Here is a 22,743-nt window from a genome sequence, read left to right as displayed (position 1 = left end):
AGGGCTGGCTCTCTCCCTCACCTCCTGCAGGGATAGTGAAGGGCGGTGGAGATCGCCCTGGCTTCCTTCCTTTACTAGTTCTCTACGGCACTTGCCTGTTTAATACACTAAATGTGTTCACGATCTTGGCTATTTTGTCTGCCTCCTCCATCCCCCACCCCCATAAATGTAAGATACACTGAAATAGAGACTTTTGTCTGTCTTGTTCACTAATGTATCCCGCACCTAGCACATGCTAATACATTTGCTGGAATGCGTGAGTGAGTGAAGAGTGGGTATCGCCCCCCAGGCAGATGCCCCCAGGGAACTGCAGCTCCTGCAGTTGAGCTTTCAGTGGCTTCCTCTCACTCCTGCTTTTGCCCTGGGGATCCTGGGGAGAAGTGCAGACTGCTGGTTTCTGTCACCCCAGCAGGAAAGACAATAGAAGGAAGGAAGCAGGAGGTCCCAGCCATGAAGAGGGTGTCAGGGACCAGGGGGTCTGAAAGCCCAGGAATCAGGGTCTGGTTAGTTTCAAGGACTGCAGTGGGGCAGGTGCAGAGGCAAGGTCATGGGCCTTTCTGCCCCTTCATCCAAGACCAGCCATCTGCTGCCTGCTCTCTATTAAACCATGTAAAACCATGCTCAGGAAGTCAGCCTGGGGCTGTGGACACACAGGGCCAGGAGAACCACTCAGCCAAGACTTGGTCTTGAGCCCTTGGGCCAGTCATCGCTGAGCCTTGGTTCCTTTGGCTGAAACATGAAAGAGGTGCAGGAGAGGACTTCTAAGGACCCTCAGCACTGACATTCCATGATTCCTGGAGGATGTGGACAGCCTGGACCTACCTGGCAATGGCTCCCTGTCAACTAAAAGGCAGCGAGATTTTGCAGATTGGGTGAAAAGGGATCTTTCTGACCTGCTTTCCACATGGTAAGAGGAAGCCACAGGATGACACGGCGTGTTTACAGCACAGACTCTGGGGCCAGAGTGTTTGGGTTTATATCCCAGCTCTGCCCGTTATTTGCTGTGCAATCTTGGATAAATGACTTCACATCCCTGTGCCTCATTTTCCCCTTTGTTAAAACAGGTTGAATAATAGAAGCTATTCTGGGGTTGTTGTGACAATTACATAAGATTATATTAACTACGCCAGCAAAGTGCTTAGCACCGGGCGCATCATGAGCATTCAGTGAATGCTGGTTGGTGTGATTAACTTATGACACCTGAAACCAGAGCTTGCAGAATCAGGACAGGGGACAGCCCAGCAGGTAAAAGTCCAACTTAGGAATCAACTTCAAAAACACAAAGCCATGGTGAGGGGCGGGAAGAGAATGGCATAGTCAGAGAATTCGCCAACTTAGAACCCACCAACCAGCAATCATTGAGCACCCACTGTGTACAAGACACAAGGGAGGATCTCAAAAGAAACATGGAGCACCTGCTGGTTTGTTTCCTTTTCACCTAACTGTACACTCTGTGAAAGCAGGGACCATGTCTGTCTTCGCTACCACTGCAACCACAGCATCCAGTGCCTGGCACATAGTAGCTCCTTTATAAATGTTGGTTAAATAAATAACATGTGTACATTAAATTGTACTGGCCCCTACAGCTTCTTCTGTGACCCCTGATACACCACTGTCCATACAGTGGCTTCCAGTTTGCCTTCCCCACCAGACTGAGCCAGCCAGACACAGTGCCTGGTATATACTGGGTACATACTGGCTCAGAGATTGGGTGGATGAACAGAGGGTTGGTCAGAGGGCAGCAGAGGTGCCAAGGCAGTGGTGCAGACAATGAGTAATGTTGGCGGAAAAGAGCCTGGGAGATTGGCTAATGGAGATTCAAGGATATCAGTGAAGGAGAGCATTCCAAATGGACTCAGTGCAAAGCGAGTTGCCAAACAGGGTGGGCCAGGACCCAGTGGTGGTGAACTAAGGGGAACCAATAGGGAACTACGGCGCCCTTCATCAGAGAGGGGCTGGCCAATCACCAGGTACTACCAAGGTGAGGCCGGCCCAGAAGGCTGGTTCAGGAATACACCCACATGCCTGATAGAGTCTCAGAGAATGAAGAGTCACCTCGGGCCTAGGAGTCACCTCCATACCCACAGGGCCCCCATCACCACGTGGCTCCCTGTCCCTGCTGCAGACCAGCTGAAACCCTAAGGAGATGGTCAGATCTCTGGTATCCCCAGTTTCTACCAGCCCTAGCTGATGGCACCCAAGTGTTTCTGGTTCCCCCAACCCAGCAGCCCCACTTTGGGAAAGGAGACGGCCCAAAGAAAATGGCTTGTACAGCACAGGAGGGTCAGAGGCTGGGCCACAGCTACAAACTCTCTGAAGTTGGGGAGACATCTTTAATGTCTTCGGGGCCAGCCACCCCTCCCCACATCAGATCCTTTAGGGAGGCCAGCCAGCAGGGGCTGCCTTGCTGCAAATGACTCCCTTTGTCATTCTGTTTTGTTATGATTAAAAATGCATGTCGCAGGCGAGGCCCTGGAGTGGAACCCGGTTGAAAATTGAATCATTAATATTCCCCCTCCAGCTGATGCCCTGTGCTTCCCAGGCGGCTGTGAGCGCGAGGCTGCAACAGTTTTGGAGTCAGAGCAAGATGAGGAAGACGGAGGGGTACACTGGGCCCTCCGCCCAGGATTCGTACCCCATCCCTTCACCTGGGAACAGGTGTCAAGGTCTCGGCCCTTAGAGTTCTCTCTCCAGAGTATATTCTCGAGCTCTGCGCATGTTGCTGAAAAGGAAACTGCGATCTTGGAGGCTGGACATGATGATCAGGTGCCCCACTGGCCTCCTCCGTCCCCCTCGCCACCCACCCAGGCCCCTCTGGCTTCCTGCTCTTCATTCTGCTGGTTTCTGCCTGGACTGTTCGTCCTTCAGAGATTTATTATTCTTATTTTTATAATTCTTATTAATAGCTAACATTTAGCTAGCACTTTCTACCTGCCAGGCACTATTTCAGCCCTGTACGTTTAGGAGCTTCTATAGTTCTCCTAACAACTCCAAGGTAGGGCTTCTATTCCTGCCCCATTTTACAGATGGGGAAACTAAGGCACAGAGCAATTCAGCAGCTTATCTGAGGTCACACAGCTAGCAAGTGGCTGCAGAGTTTGTGCTCCTAACCTCTAGACTTGCACAGTCAAACATGGTAGCCGAGGGCCGCAGTTGACACTGAGCACGTGAAATGCAGCCAGTCTACACTGGGAAGTACTGGAAGTGTAAAATAAATACCAGACTTCAAACACTTAGCACAAGAAAAAGAAGGTAAAGTATTTCGGTGATAATTTTTTTAATATTACCTATATGTCGAAATGATAATATTTTGATATATTGGGTTAAATAAAATATATTATTAAAACTGATTTCAACTGTTTCTTTTGACTTAAAAAAATGTAGCCTAGTACAGTGGCTCATGCCTGTAATCCCAACACTTTGGGAAGCAAAGACAGGAGGATTGCTTGAACTCAGGAGTTTGAGACCAGCCTGGGCAACACAGCGAAACTTTGTCTCCACTGACAACAACAAAATATATATAATATATATTTATATATGATATATTTATATATGATATACTTATATATCATATATAAATATATATATGATATAAATATATCATATATAAATATATATATGATATAAATATATCATATATATAAAATATATAATATATAAATATATCATATATATAAAATATATAATATATAAATATATCATATATATAAAATATATAATATATAAATATATCATATATATAAAATATATAATATATAAATATATCATATATATAAAATATATAATATATAAATATATCATATATATAAAATATATAATATATAATATATATATAGTATATATAATATATATTATATATAATATATAATATATAATATATAATATATATATTATATATTATATATTATATATAATATATAATATAAATAATATATATAATATATAATATATAATATATAATATATAATATATAATATATATAATATATAATATATAAATATATAATATATATAATGTAAATATATAATATATAGATATATAATATATATAATGTAAATATATAATATATAAGTATATAATATATAAATATATATAATATATAAGTATATAATATATAAATATATAATATATAAAAAAATATATTATATATAAATATATAATATATAAATATATAATATATAAATATATAAATATATAATATATAAATATATTATATATTTATATATAATATATAATATATATTATATATTTATATATAATATATAAATATATAATATATAAATATATATAATATATAAATATATATAATATATAAATATATAAATATATAATATATAAATATATATAATATATATTTATATAATATATAAATATATATAATATATATTTATATAATATATAAATATATAATATATAATATATAAATATATAATATATAAATATATAAATATATATTATATAAATATATATTATATTGTATATATTTATATATTATATACAAATACATATATAAATATATATTTATATATTATATATATATAGAATATATATATATATGGTGGTGCACCCTGTAGGCCCAGCTACTCAGGAGGCGGAGGCAGAAGGATGGCTTGAGCCCAGGAGATAGAGGCTGCAGTGAGCTTTGATTGTGCCACTGCACTCCAGCCTTTTTGAGACCCTGTCTCAAAAATTTTAAAAGTGTGGCTACTAGAAAGTTTAAAATTACACACGTGGCTTGCATTGCATTTCCACTGGACAGAACTGCTCCAGCCCACGCAGATTCTAACTTGGTTCCCTGCAGGTCCCTCGGGTGGATGGAGGCTTACATGTCACCTCTGCAGGGAGGGCTTCTCCATCCCAAGAGAGAGGCAACTCCAATCATCCTCTCCTTTATTGGTGTAGCATCAGATTCTCCCACCAAGCACATAATAAATGCTTCATAAATATTTGTTGAAAGGCTGTTGTAAAATGATCTGTAAATTGGGGTTGGGGAGGGGACAGAAAGCTGGCTCCATGGTTTTCTTAAGCTAGGATGAGAGCTAACACCAAAGCCACAAAGTTCTCAGGAAATGACCATTGAGATGACTGGGCGCTGGGCACCTGGACTTCTATTAACTCAGTTCTTTGGGCCAGACCAAGATCGGGGCTGGGGGACTCCTGATGAGCAAAGCCAGGCACGTGGCCACCCTCCTGGCACAGGTGCAGGGACCAGAATGCTGCCACAGGGCCTCCCAACCCAAACCAAGCAGAAAGAGGCAGGGCTGAGCTGGAACAGGGCTGGGCCTTGGCCTCCTGGTCACTGCTGCCAGGGTGATGTCGAGATCTCCAAATTAGCTAGCCCCCTGGACAAGAGGACAGGCAGCTGCATATCCCCAGCTCTCTGTTGTCCTTCAAGCAGAGAACCTTAGATAGTCCATATTCGGCCTTCTCCATTCCATTTCCCAGATGGGAGAAAAATGGGTAAAGGAAGGAAGTGAAGCTCTGATAGCCTCTCCCCCAACCACACACACTTCCTCCCTCTCACGTCTTTAAGAGCAGGAGCGAACACATCAGGAGCCCTCACTACACGAGCCAGCGCTGTGCTGTGCATGCCACCCGTGTTAGTTCATGTGAGGCAGCTACTTTTATCATCCCCATTTTACAGATGAGGAAACTGAGGCACAAAGGTGAATTCACAGATGGGGCCAGGATTTGACTCTAGGTCTTCTGATTCTGGAGCCACAACCATTACCACTGGCCGGTCTTCACCAGGCACTCAGGCCAGGGAAATGCCCAGAACTCAGAGAAAAGCTGCCAGGAGTCATGCCAGGGCTGGTCAGAAGTCATTTCTAATGTCCACAGCAAGTGTCACATGGCCGGGATTTGGGACGGCAGCTTCAGGGGAGAGGGAGGAGTATGGGGAGGCGATCCCTTCCTCTTTGGCCATCTGGTAGGTTCCTATCTTGGCCATCTCCCCCAAGTTCCAGTGTGAGCAAGGACAGGCTGTCCCCAGAAACCGAGGGCTTACCTAACTGACCCCATCTCTCCAGGGCAGGGCAATGCCATCTGCAGGCTGTCTAGCAGGGGTTGCTACTGCTATTGATTTGGGGGTACAAGAGATGAAGACCGAGTCTCCAGCCTGCCACTCAGCTTTTCCGTGGCCAGCCCCACCCTGCATTCCCAGATTCTCCCAGGACTCCTCAGCATACCCCTGCCCCCATCCCCCAGACCTGCCTCCCTTTGTCCTCAAGCCCAGGATTCACCCTGAGCCTTTGCTCACAAGGTTTCCTCCACCAGGGACAGCGCCCTTGCTTCCTCCATACCTGTGTTTTGTTTCTGATGGGGGCTCAGCTGGAGTCCTAAAGCTTCCCGAAGCCCCCTGGCGACCCAGCCACCACGATCCTCGATCCTCCCTTCCTCGATTCTTAGTCTACTTGCACACCAGCTGCCAGGGAGGGGTCCCGACCTCTTACTCCAGGAAGTGGTCAGGGCAAGTACACCAGGACAGAGTGCGGGGGCAACCAGGGCCAGCGGCCATGATGGCCTCTTTTTAGGGGTATTCATAGCCACCTTCGTGGTTAGTTCCTGCTTTGGGTTGGGGGGTCTTTGAGTTGTCACCTATATGGCTCTGCCAACAACAGTGCAGGGATGCTTCTTGGACACTCTAACTGGAGCCCCTCTGCCACTGTGTCAGGCGGGATGAAAACGTAGGTCCAGGAGTTCGTGGGATTTGGTCCTGGGAAGACAGCAGCCTGGCTCCCGGGACCCCATCCCACATCACTGACCCTAAGATTTATTCGGGAGCCAGCCCCTTGGGCCCCAGAGGGTAAACGCTGCCCTGCTTCCTAGATCCCAGAGCCTCCCTCAGAACCAGGGCCCATCCTGGCCTGCGGTGGGGAATGGGTACACAGAGAGAGGGAGGGCTCCCTGCTGGCCGGCAAGGAGGGCCGCGAACAGGTGTGTCCGTCATTCGCTCTTCTGCCTCCTACCCCTTGGCCCCAGACCCTCACCCACCCCACCCTCAGCCACACTCATCCCTTCCCTCTTCCCCTCCCTCCCTCCCCCACCCACACCTCCCCAAGGACAAGCAAAGTTATTACAATAATGAATTAGCCAGCCCGCTTACTGCCGCCACTGGCGAAGACAATTATCCCCCCCGCACATCCCTAGCCGCTGCTCGGCTCCCTCGTAAAGACAGGCTTTTGGGGCCGCTTTGTGCTTTGATTGGAAATGAAGAGATTGCTAATTAGGGAACACCTGCTGGGACCCGGGCTGGCAGGAACAACGGCAGGACGGACTGAGCGGCCATTGCAGGCAGGGCAGCGTGTGCATGTGAGTGTGCGCCCGGGTCTGTGTGTGCCCACAAGGGTGGTGGGGGGAGTTGAGAGGAGAAAAGAGAGCCCGCGCTACATGGGCACCTCGGTGATTTAATACAGCTCCCTGCCACCCCACCGCGGAGCCGTAAACAAAACCCAGACATTTTATGGAGCTTTTCACCTTTTAAAGGATGCTAATTTGTTTATGGGCGGCTATAATTCTGCTTGTGTTTGCATAGGTCAGTGCCTGGAGTGTGCTGTGCATCTTTCTGCTGTGCACAGCTGTTTCCAGCTGGGCCAGCCGGCATTGGGATTCACGGAACCTCCCAGCTCCCTGCAGAGGGACGGGAATGGGGAACTGGCACACAGAGAGAACCTGCTGGCCCTGGGACTGCCTGGTAGCAGTGTTGGGGACATAAGGTCAAAGGGAGTTAAACCTGAGATTGACTCGATTATTTATTTATTCTAGGGCTGGGAACCTCCCACTTCTCCTTGTTCTCTCCTGGGCCCTGGGAAGACAAGTTCTCGAGTGACCCCTTTCCCAGAATGTGATCCAATTTGACACTGGAGTTACTGGTGTGTGGTGGCCAAACGGGTACCCAATTGCTTTTTCCTAAATACCATAAAATACTGGCTGCCAAGCCCCTTCCCTTCTCTTACCCTCCCACTCCCATAACCATGCTGACATTCAGCTCCCTTCACAACCTGGTTTTTCAGCCCCTGCTCTCTTTTGAACTGGACTCCACAAAACCGTATTGAGCAACTACTCTGTGCACCAGAGATCAAACACACACAGCTCTTGGGGGCATTCCTTTGAATATTTGCAACATAGTTCCTGCCTCAAGAGATCTCAGTCCTGGAGGGAAGACAGACACAGCAGTGCATAACTGGGACTCAGGGGCTACTGCAGACGGGGCACAGAGTGCATGCGTGGACCAGAGCAGGGGAGATGATGTCTGCAAGAGGAGGCATGAGGAGGCTTCTCTGAGAAGGGGAGAATCTAGCAGAGTCATGAAGGGTCTGTGTGAGCCAGGACACAGGGATGCAGCCCAGCCTGGCCCTCATTCAGGAAAACAGGGTGTTGCCGCATAGCTGGTGCATGGGACTCAAGGGCAGTGGAAGGACAAGAGGACAGTGGAGGTGGGTGTGAGCCCTGGGAGGTGTGTGGGGCGGGGGTGGGGCAAGAAGGGCCCTGGCCTTAGATGAACGGTGGCACCTACACATAGGCACATATGCACATTTTTAAAGGCTGCCTGCGGCACTTGTGTGTGGATTGGGGGCATTGATAGAGTCCCCCAGAAGCTGATGGTCCTGGTCCCCGACTCAGGGGGACTAAGGGACCTCCCAGCCAGTATATCTCATTCCTAGGCCAACTCTAACTGCTTCCTCTCTTTCCTGTATCTTCCTACATTTGAAGTTTCTAAAACACACAGTAGAGCTTTTGCTAAAATGCACACAGTGTCCCAGCAACTCTGCAGTTCACCCCAGGAGGTGAGGACCCTCCTTGCTGAGGTCCTATATTGGCATGAGTACTGGACTGAGGGTGCTCTGACCACCGGCCTCAGTTTCTCATCCTATAAAATGGGGAAGTACTCCTTACTTGTTTGAGGTCTCCTCTGTAGCTCTGGTAGAAATGATCTCATAGTTCCACAAAGCATTGCATGGGGCTGAAGTGCAGTACAAGGTCAAAAGCACAGGTATGGCCGGGCACAGTGGCTCACGCCTGTAACCCCAGCACTTTGGGAGGCCGAGGTGGGTGAATCACCTGGCGTCAGGAGTTCGAGACCAGCCTGGCCAACATGGTGAAACCTCGTCTCTACTTAAAAAAAAAAAAATTACGAAAATTAGCCAGGTGTGGTGGCACGTGCCTATAATCCCAGTTACTCGGGAGGCTGAGACAGGAGAATTGCTTGAACCTGGGAGACGGAGGTTGCAGTGAGCCAAGATCACACCACTGCACAACTCCAGCCTGGGCTACAGAGTGAGACTCTGTCTCAGCAACAACAACAACAAAAAGCACAGGCATTAGGGTAAGAAATGGTTCAACTTCCAGTGCCGCCATTCAACAGCCGTAAGCCATAGGCTACTCATTTAACTCCCCAGGGCCCATCTTTCTCCTCTGGGGGAATTATAGTATGCACTTCCTTGGGTTGCTGAGCCTGAGAAGGGAAGACAGGAGAGAGCGCAGTGCCTGGCTCATCATCATCATCATCATCATCATCATCATTATCATCATCACAAGCTGAATACCTTTCCGGGAAGTCAGGCTAGAAAACCTACCACCTCACATAGTGTCAAATATCCTTTCAGTAGAATTTAACAAGCATCTCTATCTTCTGAGACACTTGTCCAATTTTCCCCTTGGACTCACATGAGCATAGACACTTTTCAGGAGTTTCCAGGCGTGTCAGAGAGAAATGGGGAAGCTGGCCAAGCCCCAGGAGGTAGAGACCAGTGGCTCAGCCCACCCCCACGTGGGTCCCCAGCCCTGGGTGACACGCAGGCAGCTGCATATGCAAGAGACACCAGGACACCAGGCCTCTTGGTTGAGAATCCCTTGGCAACCATTGGCACAGGCTGGGCAATGTGAGCTGCTGGTAGTGAAGGACAGTGGGCCACTTGCCCAGCAGCCAGGAAGGCCCCCAAGAGAGACACAAACACAAGCCCCTGAGGGGTGGAAGGCACAGCTGCGAGGTCACCCGGCCCAGGCCTAGGCTCTCCCAGCCCTGGAAGCTGCCAAAAACTGGGCATGGGGTCCCGAGGCTGTGCTGGTGCTGGGCCCAGGCGTGGCTGCTCTAGCAGATGGTGGCCTATGCACCCTGGAGCCCTCCCTATGCCCAGGGATCTAAACATATGAAGTCTGGAAAAAGCAGCTGGCAAGAAGGGTGCTTTTTTCCCCTTCTCTGTGCAGGGCACAGCCAGAGAAGAAAGCCAAGTGGCCTTCAAAGGTGCAACTGGGTCCTGAAATTGGGAGAGGAGGAGGGAGTCGTGCAGCCCCAACGTCTTCCAAAGCAAACCCCTTTCCTACCCTCTACCCACTTCTACAGCCAAACTCTTGAGTCAGCAAAGTTCTAGATTAGACTGACCTTGTTACCACCAACACTCTTCTCACTCAATGCTTTTGTGTCCACAAACGCCAGCAACACTCACTGTCCATGAACTTTAGCTACCAGAGGAGCTGGTGCTTCCGTATGGCTCATCTACTTTAGTCCTTAGAGTAGCCCCACAAGATTGGATTTTATTGTTCCCTTTGCACAGACAAGAAAACTGAAGTGCAAAGAGGCAGATTAACTCGCCAGGGATCCCAAAGCTAAGAAGCAGCAGAGCCACAATATGAACCCAGATTTGTCCAAGTCCAAAGTCTGGACTTTTACCATCCCCTATGCTGTCCTCAGGCCATCAGCTGTCCATGTGTAGGTTCCTTCACTTCAGCACTGGGACATCATTGCATCTTGAGTTTCTTTCTTTCTTTACCTTTTTTTTTCCCTTAGTTTCAGCAGTGCCCAGCACAGAGCAAGTGTTAAAAACACACTTGGGCATGGCATTCTGAGCAGGTATACAAGAAACCACTGGGCAGCCACAGGCACTCAGGCTGGCACAGAGAGAACGCATGGGTCCCTGAGCACAGATATGATTGCAGTCAGTGGTGGATGCCGGGCATGTGGAGTGAGGGTGCTTTACTCTTAGCCTTTATATCACTAGGGAGGCTTCAGGGAGGAGGTGTCTCAAACATAGAGAAAATGTGATGTGGCATAGGGCTGGGGGGCTGCAGCCTGTGGGTGTGCAGCACAGGCGGGCGATGAGAAGAGGAGGCTGAGTGCAGTAGAGGAATTCACTCAGGGAGACACTCAAGCCCTTGGGACCTGGGATGAGCTGGGCCGTCTAGAGTTACTGCGGGCCAGCGCGCCCTCATGGCCCTGACCTCCCCCTTCAGCCACTCCAGTGTTCCTAGAATTAGGTATCCAAGCCCTACTTGTTTAGTGGCAAGATAACATGAGCTATAAGAGGCAACCAGGCTTGAGTTTGAAACTTGTCTTTGCCATTGCCTAGGTCTGCAGCCTCCTCAGGTAGGCTGAGGAGCTACCTGTTCAGAGGTACCTGTTTGTACCTCTGTTCCCTGAGCTACAAACTGGAGATACCACCTACTTCAAAGGCTTGCCATGGAGATCAGATGCATTAATACGAGAAGAACTTGGCCCAGGACTCTAAACGTGGTCCTTCAGCAATATAAGTTTCCCTTCTCCGTGTGCTTGCCTTCCTTACACACCCCGTCTCCTTTCCCTTGAGGCAGCCAGACAGACGACAACCAATTAAAGCCAGCAGACAACCCCTCCCTTTCTCTCCCCACTCCTGCCCTAACTAATTTGATATTTCAAACTCCAAAAGAATAAGAATTTATCTTCCGTATTTTTCCCACGCAGAGCCAGGCACGTGGACATTTATAAAAAGTGTTGCTTGTGGCTGGGTGCAGTGGCTCACGCCTGTAATCCCAGCACTTTGGGAGGCCAAGGTGGGCGGATCACCTGAGGTCAGGAGACCTCCACCAACATGGTGAAACCCTGTTTCTACCAAAAATACAAAAATTAGCTAGGCGTGGTGGCACACAGCTGTAATCCCAGCTACTCGGGAGGCTGAGGCAGGAGAATCCCTTGAACCTGGGAGGCGGAGGTTGCAGTGAGCCAAGATTGAGCCACTGCACTCCAGGCTGGGTGACAGAAAGACTCTGTCTCAAAAAAAAAAAAAAAAAAAAAGAAAAAGAAAAAGAAAAGAAAGTGCCGCTTTGTAACAGGTGATGCCTGCATTCCCTATCCTGGCCTTTTGCTGAAGGCAAATCAAAGGCCAAAAGACTTCCCTGTAGGAAGGCAATTGTAGGGAGCTCCTAATTCCATCAAAAGGACCTGGAGGGAAGCTGCTGTCCTTAGAAGAGAAAGAGGCGATTTCTTACTTTGTGTACAGCCCTCCACCAAGCGTACGTATGTGGCAGTGAGTGATTCCCCTTCCTCTGCCTTTGCTGAGCCCAAACTAGCAGAGAGAAAGAGAGATGTAACCCAAGCTCCAGACACTGATGGTCTTCAGAATCCCTGTCTTTGTAGCCTAGAAGCTTCAACACCCAGGGTCCTGGTTCTCTTTGATGAGTTCTACCATGGGCTCAACCTGGAGAGAGATGGAAGCTCATGGTCACATTCTCGAGGGACCCCCACAGAGAGGGAGGGGATGAGGACAACACTAGGGCACCAGCTCCCATCGTCTCTCTGTCCTAGATGCTGTTGGTGCTCTGCTCAGATCCCTCTGGCCAGTGATGCTCCCATCCCCAGCTGCTAACAGCTGCAGCCTTCTCCTGAGAATCACCCATGACCCACAGGAGCCCTCATGGGGTCCAGAAGGGCCTAGGAGTCTACTCCCTCCCTGCCGGGGCAGCTCTCAGCCAATGACTGATTGACTTGGGGTTGGAACTGACCAGTCTGTGCCTCAAGGTGGGACAACTCTGCAGCGTCATTTATGCTCCTGGATAGGCTGAGGCTAGACCTTGGCTGAGTCCACAGCTTTGCTTAGCTTCCTGCCGCCCTATTTTTCCTTCTTCAGTCCCTTACAGGATTCCCCAGAGAGCACTCCCTCAACACAGCTCTTGCCCAGAATGCCCATTTCAGGCTCTGCCCCTGGAGACTCCGACCTAAGTTAGTCTCCTCCCCTACCTCTCAGAAGTCTTCCCCAAACAGCCAGGGTGACAATGGAACCCAAGAACAAGGCAATGCCAAACATCACCAGGCAGAGATACTTACATGCCTTCGTCAGATGAAGAAGCACCAGTTATGCAGCAGACTCGCCCACTCTGGGGGAAATTCCAGCCCCTGAACCTGCAATGGCCCCAGAAACCAGAGAGAACAGCATTGGCCTCCTCTGGGTCACTCCCATCTGGAGAACCAGCGCCTTGGTCAAGGCCACCACTCGGGAAGTTGACAGATCCCACGCAATTCACCCTAATATGCTGTCACCCTGCAGCTGAGAACCCAGGGGCCTCTATCAGGAGCAACTACTGTCACATCCAACACACCTCCCCTCCCCAGCATGGGAACTTGAGTGGGCTCCTTATGAAAAGAAAGACCAGACCAGGTGCAGTGGCTCATACCTGTAATCTGAACACTTTGGGAGGCTGAGGTGGGAGAATTGCTTGAGCCCAGGAGTTCAAGACAAGCCTGGGCAAAAAAGTGATGACCTGTCTCTCCAAAAATTAAAAAAATTAGCCAGGCATAGTGGTACATGCCTGTAGTCCCAGCTACTCAAGAAGCCAAGGCAGGAGAATTGCTTGAGCCCAAGAGGTCAATGCTGCAGTCAGCCATGTTCCTACCACTCCACTCCAGCCTGGGCAACAGAGTGAGACCCTCTCTCAAAAGAAAAAAAAAAAAAAAAGAGAAAGAGAGAGAGAGAGACCAAAAACTGGGGACTCTAAGAATGCCAGACAAGATAGAAAAAAAATGTCCCCAAAGAATGTGAATGCTCTAGAGACAAAAAATCTCTCTGTTGGGTCATCTAACTTCGGTGATCTGAGGTTTTCAATGTGACACTGTGGCATAGAGAAAAGGAGGAAGTGCTGAACATTGGAAATCACATCAGGGACTTCTAAACATATGCTAGCATCCCCCAGACGCCCCCCACCCACTGCATTCAGAAGGGAGACTACAGGCTGTGGGAGCCCCTGGACAGAAAGTGAAGCCAGCAGAAAGGCAGAAACCTGATGAACCTGTGTCCACGGAAGGTCACGGGCAGATAGAGGATAAACACTTTGTCCCAAACAGTGAGCGCATGCTGGACTCCATCCAAGGTAGGGAGATGTTATAACTCTCCTCAGCAATGTGATTAGCATCCCAAGAGCCAAGGTGGGCGGATTGCGTGGAGATAAAGGTCACAGGAGAGTGGGCGAGGAGGCCAGCTGCCCAAGGCGGTAGAATCAGCATCGGCAGAAGACCCCACTGCCCACGTCTCACTCCCTCAATGAGAAAGCCTGGCAGTGGAGTAAGCTTGGGACAGCCCACATGGAGGGATGAACATGTTCGTGTCCCCCAAGGGGTTAAGATGATATTGGTGGTGGGAGAGGTGATGGACTACCAGGTTCAGGTCTCAAGAAAGATGACCTGTGGAAAGAGTATGGTGGGGAAAAACACAAGATGTGAAACACAATGGAATGAAAACATTGTCTATGGGATGGTGAAGGGAGGCTAGAAGGTCAGAAGTAGGGCAGGAGATGGGGCCAGGAAGGTGTGGACGTGATAAGGTAGGGGAAAATGAGCACGTGCTTTCGGAAAGAGCTCCTGGCGACGCAGCCACTTTGAAAGTCTAAACCTGCAGATTAGGTCTGCATTCTCCAACATGGTTCCCGGCTCCTCAGCAGAGATTTTTAGAAACTGACTTATGGAAAAGCAAGGCTGTTAGCAGTTCCAAAGGAAAGCTAAGACTGATTAACAGAGGGCTGACCTGGCAGACGTGTCTGTGTTGTCATCTTTACAAGGACACAGGGACTTGGGGAATCAAAGCTAGAGTATCAGGACCTCTCTTTCACATGGGTCTGTGAAGGGGGACTCTCAAACCTTTTTAAAGAAAATACATAAAAAGATGAAAACTTTGAAAATGTTGAACTGAGTTCAATATACATGTAAATGATACAAAAGGGTATTCACGTGGTTGCCTGTTTGCACTCAGCCCCGTTGCCTATTGTAGAAGGTGACATTCTATGGTACTATTTGCTGCCTGGGTGGCCTTAAGCAAGATCCTTAACCTCAGAGCCTCAGTTTCCTCTTTTGTATAATGGGAAGAATATATTTTTTTTTTTTTTGAGACGGAGTCCCGCTCTTTAGCCCAGGCCGGATTGCAGTGGCACAATCTCGGCTCACTGCAAGCTCCGCCTCCCAGGTTCACGCCATTCTCCTGCCTCAGCCTCCCGAATGGGAAGAATCTTAATACCATCTTTCAGTTGTTCCAAGGATAAGTGAGATAAACTGTAGGAAGTTTCCAGCACAGAACAGGCTCTCAAAAAATGCCTCTTTCCTTCTCCCACACACAGAAGAGTAATACAGGGGAGGCACACTTGAAAAAGTCAAGAACCAGGCAAGCACTAGACAACAAGGTAAGGAAACAATAAAGAAATGTCTTAGGGAAATGTCATGATTAGGTATCGGGTAAGGGTACAGTTAACACAAGGAGAGATTATTGTCTAGGTGAAAACATACAATCTTTCACAATATAGAGCAAAAGAGAGATACTGAAGAATTCTTAAAGCTTTAAAGTCATAATATGGTTCAACCCCAGTGTGAAAACTGCTGGTTAAAGAAAATACGAGATTTTAGGGGACAGAGAACAAGGCATGACCCCAGGCTCAGTATGGAAATGACAAAGACCCGAGATTACCTGGACTGTGAAAGTCCAACTGTTAAGAACCATTCTTCTGGGAAATTTGGGTGGAAGACTATAGGGAAGGCCTGAGATCAAGGGTTCAATATATAAAGGAATCACTTCATACATTTTATAAAATGGCAAAGGCAAAAATGGAAAGGGGCACAGAGACCAATAGAGTTAAGGACTTACGGGAGAATATGTAAGAAATAAGTTAGACACAGTAAAAAGAATTGTCGCACAGCAATTAATGATAAAATCGAGGCCATTTAGTAAAAAATAAGAAAAAATCTTTATAAGGAAGCACAGAGGGACCCAGAAAATGGATGAGGGATACTTTGTGCTCTGAGGCCTCTTTATTTAGCGAGTCTCCAAATGTAATATCTTTAAATTAATAGAGTATGATGGAGAGAGGGGAAAAGCCAGAAACAGGCAGTAGAATGGGCATGGAGAGAAGTAAGGCTGGCATTCAGGAAACAATGTCATTCCTCCAAGGTGTTTTCAGGGCTTTGTTTGGGGCAGCTCAGTTTACATATTATTGCTAACATATTCTCCAGTTCACACCATGAAGGCACCAACCACCACCCCTGACCCATGAGGGAGGGCCTCAAGGGAGGAAACCAAAACCGCTAAGCACCATCAGCCAGGCTTGTGGCATTTCTGGAAACAGCCAAGTCGACACTGGGCTGTGGGGGTTGGCATCTACTTTTGTATCATTTCTCTCATTAGTACATCCAAAGCGTGTCAAGTGCCTGCCGTGTCCAGGCACGGTGCTGGGAGATGGGCCCACCATGCCCTGCCTACAGAGTCCTTAATTCTGGAGGGGAAACAGACAGGCAAACAGCTGTCATACAACATGATCACTGCCCAGGGGGGCACAGGAGAAGGTCAGGACTGAACAGAACAGTCCTTGGAGGTCATCTGGTCTACCGATTTCTTTTACAGAAGAAGAAACAGAGGCCAAAAGAGATGAAGTGGCTCGTAGAAAGCCATCAGGCAGAGGCTTATAGAAGCTAATGTAAATGCTTGCTCAATATGCTGCTACAAAATCAGTTTTATTTCTGTAAGCACTTTGGTAGCCTCTGAGATAGTGTCCTACGGCATCAGTAGAGTGTCATATTTCAAAGTAATATTTCTGATATTTTTAGCAAATAGATTCCACAGGTTTAATAACAATGCATCCACTTGCCCTCTCTCTGGCCTCATTACCCACCTTAAATGATTAGGCAAATTCATCCCAAAAATAAGTGGGGAAACTGAGGAAGCCAAAGCATGCTTGGCAGTTGAGTACAGATGATATCCCAATGAGCATATATCCATTTTCTCCTGAAGTTGGTGTTTCATTCCCATGCATGTCTTATGGTTGATCCCTAGGCTATATATGGCATATATTGCAAGTTTTAAAATCTTATATAAATGGTATCATCGTGTCTCTAGGAATTTTCTTAACTCCCTTCCCTTAGCCATGCTGCTGACTGCCCCGGTCCACCAAGACTATCCATTAGGTTAACACTGGCTCTGTTTTGAAGCTTCCATCATAAAGGGCAGAGATCCGAGTGAAGATTGTGCCGAAGAAAGACACCACCACCAACCATGTTTCTACTAATCAAGAGTAAAGTTTGAACTTGCGGGGACTCATATCCATCTTGTGGTCTTTTCCCCTGGGCTAAAAGTGGTGCTTGATACCCACTGGTTTCCAAAGGAGAAACAGCATATGGGATTCTAAAGGCAGAAAAACTCAAGAGTCATTACATGAGTGTGTTCTCAATTGAGTGCCCTAGAGTAAATAGTAATTACATGTTCCTTCAAGATTACTATTAGCCTGAGATGGGGAAAGAAGAGTCATGGATGGCTGACCACAATACTCCTTCCTAATGTGCACACGTGTGCACAAACACCCAGGCTGGTCACAAGTCTGGATTTGGAATTTTCCCCAAGAACCTGATGTTAGTTCTCCAAGTCCCTTGAAATATACAAATGGCACCCCTCAGAGGCATGAGAAATTGCCCATGCTTATTCCTATTCTTCTTTCCTTGCAAAGTACTCCCCAAAGATGCACCATCAAATATGTGGCAAACAAGCAACCCCACTTTAGCTATGCTACGCAGGGAAGAGGAATTGGCCCTGTGCAGAGATGACACTCCAGTGGTTCTGAATGCTTAGGACAGCAAAGACAAGCCATGTTAAATGGCATCCCACCTTCACATCTGGACTGCAGCAGCCTGTGGATGTTTTAGGTTATGGAGAGCAGATTTCCATGAGAGGAAAAAGGCTTGGCCAGGTCACCCCAAAGCCCAGACAGGCAATGGAAGGATGCTCACTTGGTCATCGGATATGGGAGTGGAGTCCCCTTCAGCAGAGAATTGTAAAGGATGAGAGCATGTTTTAAACCACCTGTAGATGCTTGTGCACACATGTGCACATTAGGGGTATTGTGGTCAGCCATCCGTGACTCAATATAGCATCTTCTGCTATACTGGCAAGCTGTCCGGGGGACTCTGGGAGGAATGTAGGAACTTTGAAAGTTTCCTCTTTCTTGGCCTTTCTGGCACCAGGCCCTGCAAAATGATGATAACAGCCAAAATGTCATCATCCTCACCCACAGCAGTGGCTTTGAGGGTTTATTATCCAGCAGGTACTATTCAAGGGACTTACACAGGGCTCCTTTAATTCTCGCAACAACTCAGTGAAGGAGGTGTTCTTATAACCCATATTTTACAGATGAGGAAACTGAGTGTGAAGTGGAGAGGCTGGGACAGTTGCCCAAGGTCACAACTGTTACAACGTGGATAAGGCTCTAGTAGCTTGGCGCTGAAGCCTGCTTTTCACCAAAACTGTTTCATGGAGGTCACCATTAGGGGGAATCATTTAGTCTAAAACTGGCAAGCACTTCCAGTTTTAAAGGAATGTTTATCCTCTGATTTTTATTTTGCTTCACACCAGTGCTGGGAGACACTCAGAGGAGGTGTCAGCCCCACTCGGCAGGTGAAGGAATTAAGCTACAGTGAAGTTAAGAACTTGCAGAGGTCACCCCGTTTGGCAACTCCCCTCCCAAACCTCAACTGTGCTCCTCGCTTCCAACTCTGCTAAAGGACTTTTAGCAAACCTGGAGCCCAGGTGTTGGGCCTCTCCAGACACGTACAAGCCTAGGTGCGACTGCTGGGGTGGAAGACTGGGGAAGGAGGAAAATTAAAGCCACAGAGGTACAAAACTAGGGTCTCTACAAATTAAAGCCAAAATTTAAAATGCAGAGTTTGGAAACTTGTTTTTGAAAAAGGAACCCTGACAGTTTTCCACTAACCCCTAGAGGTGCTTATAGACAGGGGAAGGTGAGGACAGAAAACAAACCAAGGAGAATGATGCTAAAGCCACACAGCACAAGAAAAGCCACATCTGGGCCCAAGGCCTTGGATGAGAGGAACACAGGCTGGATAACCTATCTTACTGGTGATATTAGGAGAACAATGGCCTGGGTTCATCATCTAAAAATGTAAACTTATAGAGCTGGAGAGCCTAAGAGATCTCTCCCAGTGGCTCATTTTATAATTAAGGAAACTGTGGTCCTGAAAGCATCAGCACCTGAATTACCAGCAATCCTGAGGTTGGAACTGGGCTGGACCGCCTGGTACCCGCCTCCTTCCACAGCACACTGGGCCATCCTTCCGACTACCGGAGCCCGCGGGCGGAAGCGGTCTCCAACACTGGGCCTCTTTCCAGTTGACTTTATTTTTTAACTTTTTATTTCAAAATAATGACAGATTCACAGGGAGTAGCAAAGAAAATCTATGAGGAGGCCCTAGGCACCCTTCATTGTGCCTTCCCCCAGCTGACCTGTGTGCATATAAAGTCCACAATTTTAATATAACCCCAGATGCACATGGGATGATAGGTTCCTTCCTGAGACCGACTTAGGAGCAAACAATCCATTTCTTTCTCATATCTTATCCTACCATTGTTGCCGTAAACCCTAAAACACACACACACACACACACACACACACACACACACACACACACACAGAGCCTAATCAGCAATAATTTTACTCCTGAATATTGCTAGAAAGATCACTAAGCCAAGCTAATCAATTGTCTTAGCCAGCCACTTGTCCCCAAGAGATGCCTAGACTTTTCATTGCTGTCATTTAACCCTCAGCAGCCTGAGTTTTTATCCCCTGTCTTCCAAACGAGAGCAGAAAAACTGTTGTGGGAAGAATCCCGTACCCAAAATGATGTTCATAACTTGACACCTTTCAAAAGCCTTGTCTGTGCTAATGGAAGCAGACACTTTGGAAAACTTCAGAAGGAAGGTCTTCCTCTCATGTGTACCACCCGGGACCAGAGTGGTTAAAGCAAGAAGAGGAGCACAGGGGGCCCTACAGAGTTTGAACAGCTAGAGGAAGCAGGTATGGCTCAGAAAGGGGAGAGGAGAGAGCATGACAAATGAGGGAAATATTCACAGGAGAGATACCAGTTTAGCAATTAAATTTGACATCGACTTAGACAAAGCTTCTTCACTGAACAGAATAAAATTCCTGGGAAGATTTGTGCACATATGATAAAAGACTCATCTCATTTTTTTTTCCTGGACAGAGGAACATGAAAGCAGGAGAGAGGGACAGAGAGGAGAGAAGGATAGGGGCAAGGACCATGATCAATGAGTCACGAGCTGACCTAGTAGTGAAAGCAGGTGGACATCCATAGCATCAAATCCCTCCTGCTGTGATGAAGTGACTAGAAGTGGCCCCATGAAGAAAGAACTTCTGCAATTCACTCTGCATGTGTTTACTGAACACATACTATGTGCCAGGCACTGCACTAGGCACTGGGGAATTTCAAAGGTGAATAATGAGGCAAAAAGGGAGATAGTGACTACTACTAATTGTACTACTACTATGACTACTACCAACTGCTAGGAGCAGGAGCAGAGGGGAGGGAGTGAGGATATGGGACACTTTGTAAGTTTGGATGGCACTGGGATTCATATTCCAGTCCCCTGCTTCAATCAGGAAACAATGGCTTAACAGTGAGCAAAGAAAAGGAAGAGAGAGCATTGCCTGGCCGCATCGTGAGTCCCTGCATGGGAACAAGGAGTACTGAGGGTCTCAGGACTGCAGACATCCCACGAGAGGACACCTCTTGCAGGAACTCCAGTGATGGAGTTTGGATTCATTTGTCAAGTGATCGTGTCAAGAGGGAGGAGGCCAAAGCAGTCACCAGCTGCCCTATAAAAGCAGCCCTGTTGGTTGCACAGCCAGGACTGGTCTGGCCTGCTCTGTAGGCAGAGCCTAAACTGCCCTCTGAGAATGTGGGGTGGAGGGGGTGCAGCAGTGACTTGGAGACCCAAGAACAAAAGTGCTCACTGGAATGTGAGCCAGGGCCAAGAAACTTAAGAAAATTCTCTTTCTACAGAGGGAAAAGAGTCACAGCTTCCTCTGACTGAGGAGTGATGCCCAAAGCCCAGGTCACATCCTCTGCTCTCCCATAGTGGTTTAAACAGTGCTGTAAGGTCCTGGGTTCTTCTCAGGTTAGAGGGCTTCCTCATGGAATAGCCCACTGGAGGATGAAGCTGCATGTCTTGCTGACACAGAGCTCTGCATGGCCAACTTTCAGGAAAAATATCCCCTTAGTGGAAGGTGTGGGAGCCTGTCTTTAATGGTGTGACATGATGTGTGCAGAAGCGAGTGCTCCGTGCTGAACAAATAAAAGTGTCAACACCTATTGGGCCCAGGGCTAAGCACTTCACGTGCGTTTCATCTTCCCAACAACCCTATGAGGTTGATCCTATTGTTATCCCCATTTTGCAGATGGGAAAAGTGAGACCCTGAGGGGTTTCGTAACTCAAGTCTCATAACTGAGAAAGGTGAGCGCCAGGATTTGAACCCTGGCTGTCTGACTTGGAAGGCGCATGCTTAACTGCAGCTCTCTACTGTCCGTAGAGCACGGGTCAGGGCAAGAGGGCAGGAATTATCAACGATGAGGCAGGCTAACAAAGAGAAATGAAGCATGGACTCTCCTCGGTGGAGCTCCTGGCCTAATGAGGGAGACACAGAAGCATAGCACAGGGGGTGAATGCAGTCATGGAGGGAGACCAGGCGAGGACCTCGAAAGCCCCAGGAAAAGGGAGAAGGTGCCCCAGAAGAGCTGATCTAGACGTGTTATAGATGCCACCTTGACTTGAAAGGAGAAATACAAGACTCACAGGGCACTGAGCTTGAAGCACTAAAGAAAGAACAGTGCCCAAGTACAGGCGAAATAAAAAGCCAGGGGATGCTGTAGAAAAAAAGTTGGCACCCTGGTGCCTCTGCTGACCTCATGAAACAGGGAAAAAAGGCCCACGTGAAACAAATAGAAACTGCTCACTTGGTTGGTGGCAGAAAAAAGGATGTGTGTTCACAGAGCATGCAGAATCCCCTTGTATCAGGGATTCCTGCCCTCCCTTTCCAAGCTGAAGAAGGAAATCTCTCTCCAGGGGAGCCAGGGCCTGTTTCGGCAGCCATATGGCTCTGACTTTCCCTGGAGTAGGAGGGGAGAGAGAGGCCAGAATGCTTGCCGGGACTTAGACTTCTGACCTCAGCTTGGCCTTGACATTGCTCGACCTTGGCCAAGTTGCTTCTCTGGCTGGAGACCAGAGAGTTCTTCACCTGCCTTTACCTGGGAACAGTGAGCCAGGCGGACTTTGAGGGCCTCACGTGAAGAAAGCCAGCAGGAGAACCAAGGGATTCAGACCCAAACACATCACAGTGGGAAAAGGGTCCTGTGGAGATGTTAATTGGTGTGCTAAAGGGGAAGACTGAGCCCTCGGCACTCCAGGGGCATGACCAAAGTGGGAGAGAATCCATTTCTCTGGCCCCACCAGACGACACAGGAGCTCCCTAGCTGCTAGCAAATTGAGCCATACTCCTATCTCTATGTTCTCACCTCCGAACTGGAGCAGGAGAAGCGATCTGGGGAGTTGAAGGCACACAGCCCCTCCAGGCCCTTAGCAAACTGAGGGGTGCATCAGCTGTAGGGGGATTGGAAGGGACACTCTTTTCTGAGCAAATCAGCTGACTTCAGCTTCAGAG

General features: G+C 47.8%; 1 protein-coding gene across 2 annotated transcripts in view, besides 4 other annotated features; it reads right to left on the bottom strand.

Moving 5' to 3' along the window:
• ESRRB (estrogen related receptor beta) overlaps positions 1-22,743 on the bottom strand; it is a 191,061-nt gene that overhangs the window by 164,828 nt on the left and 3,490 nt on the right. The gene's annotated exons all lie outside the window — the stretch shown is intronic.
• Positions 2,025-2,524: an enhancer, noted in NCBI's record as "H3K4me1 hESC enhancer chr14:76800829-76801328 (GRCh37/hg19 assembly coordinates)". NCBI's record gives its function as "activates a minimal SCP1, AML or CMV promoter by ChIP-STARR-seq in primed H9 embryonic stem cells {active_cell/tissue: H9 hESC(primed)}" and the evidence as "EXISTENCE:reporter gene assay evidence [ECO:0000049][PMID:30033119]".
• Positions 6,018-6,538: an enhancer, noted in NCBI's record as "H3K4me1 hESC enhancer chr14:76796815-76797335 (GRCh37/hg19 assembly coordinates)". NCBI's record gives its function as "activates a minimal SCP1, AML or CMV promoter by ChIP-STARR-seq in primed H9 embryonic stem cells {active_cell/tissue: H9 hESC(primed)}" and the evidence as "EXISTENCE:reporter gene assay evidence [ECO:0000049][PMID:30033119]".
• Positions 6,539-7,061: an enhancer, noted in NCBI's record as "H3K27ac-H3K4me1 hESC enhancer chr14:76796292-76796814 (GRCh37/hg19 assembly coordinates)". NCBI's record gives its function as "activates a minimal SCP1, AML or CMV promoter by ChIP-STARR-seq in primed H9 embryonic stem cells {active_cell/tissue: H9 hESC(primed)}" and the evidence as "EXISTENCE:reporter gene assay evidence [ECO:0000049][PMID:30033119]".
• Positions 7,062-7,583: an enhancer, noted in NCBI's record as "H3K27ac-H3K4me1 hESC enhancer chr14:76795770-76796291 (GRCh37/hg19 assembly coordinates)". NCBI's record gives its function as "activates a minimal SCP1, AML or CMV promoter by ChIP-STARR-seq in primed H9 embryonic stem cells {active_cell/tissue: H9 hESC(primed)}" and the evidence as "EXISTENCE:reporter gene assay evidence [ECO:0000049][PMID:30033119]".

Source organism: Homo sapiens, chromosome 14 (genome assembly GCF_000001405.40).
Source record: "Homo sapiens chromosome 14, GRCh38.p14 Primary Assembly".
In the NCBI taxonomy this organism is placed as follows: domain Eukaryota; kingdom Metazoa; phylum Chordata; class Mammalia; order Primates; family Hominidae; genus Homo; species Homo sapiens.
Note: the sequence above shows the minus strand (reverse complement) of the source record. Positions and strands in the feature narration are given on the sequence as shown.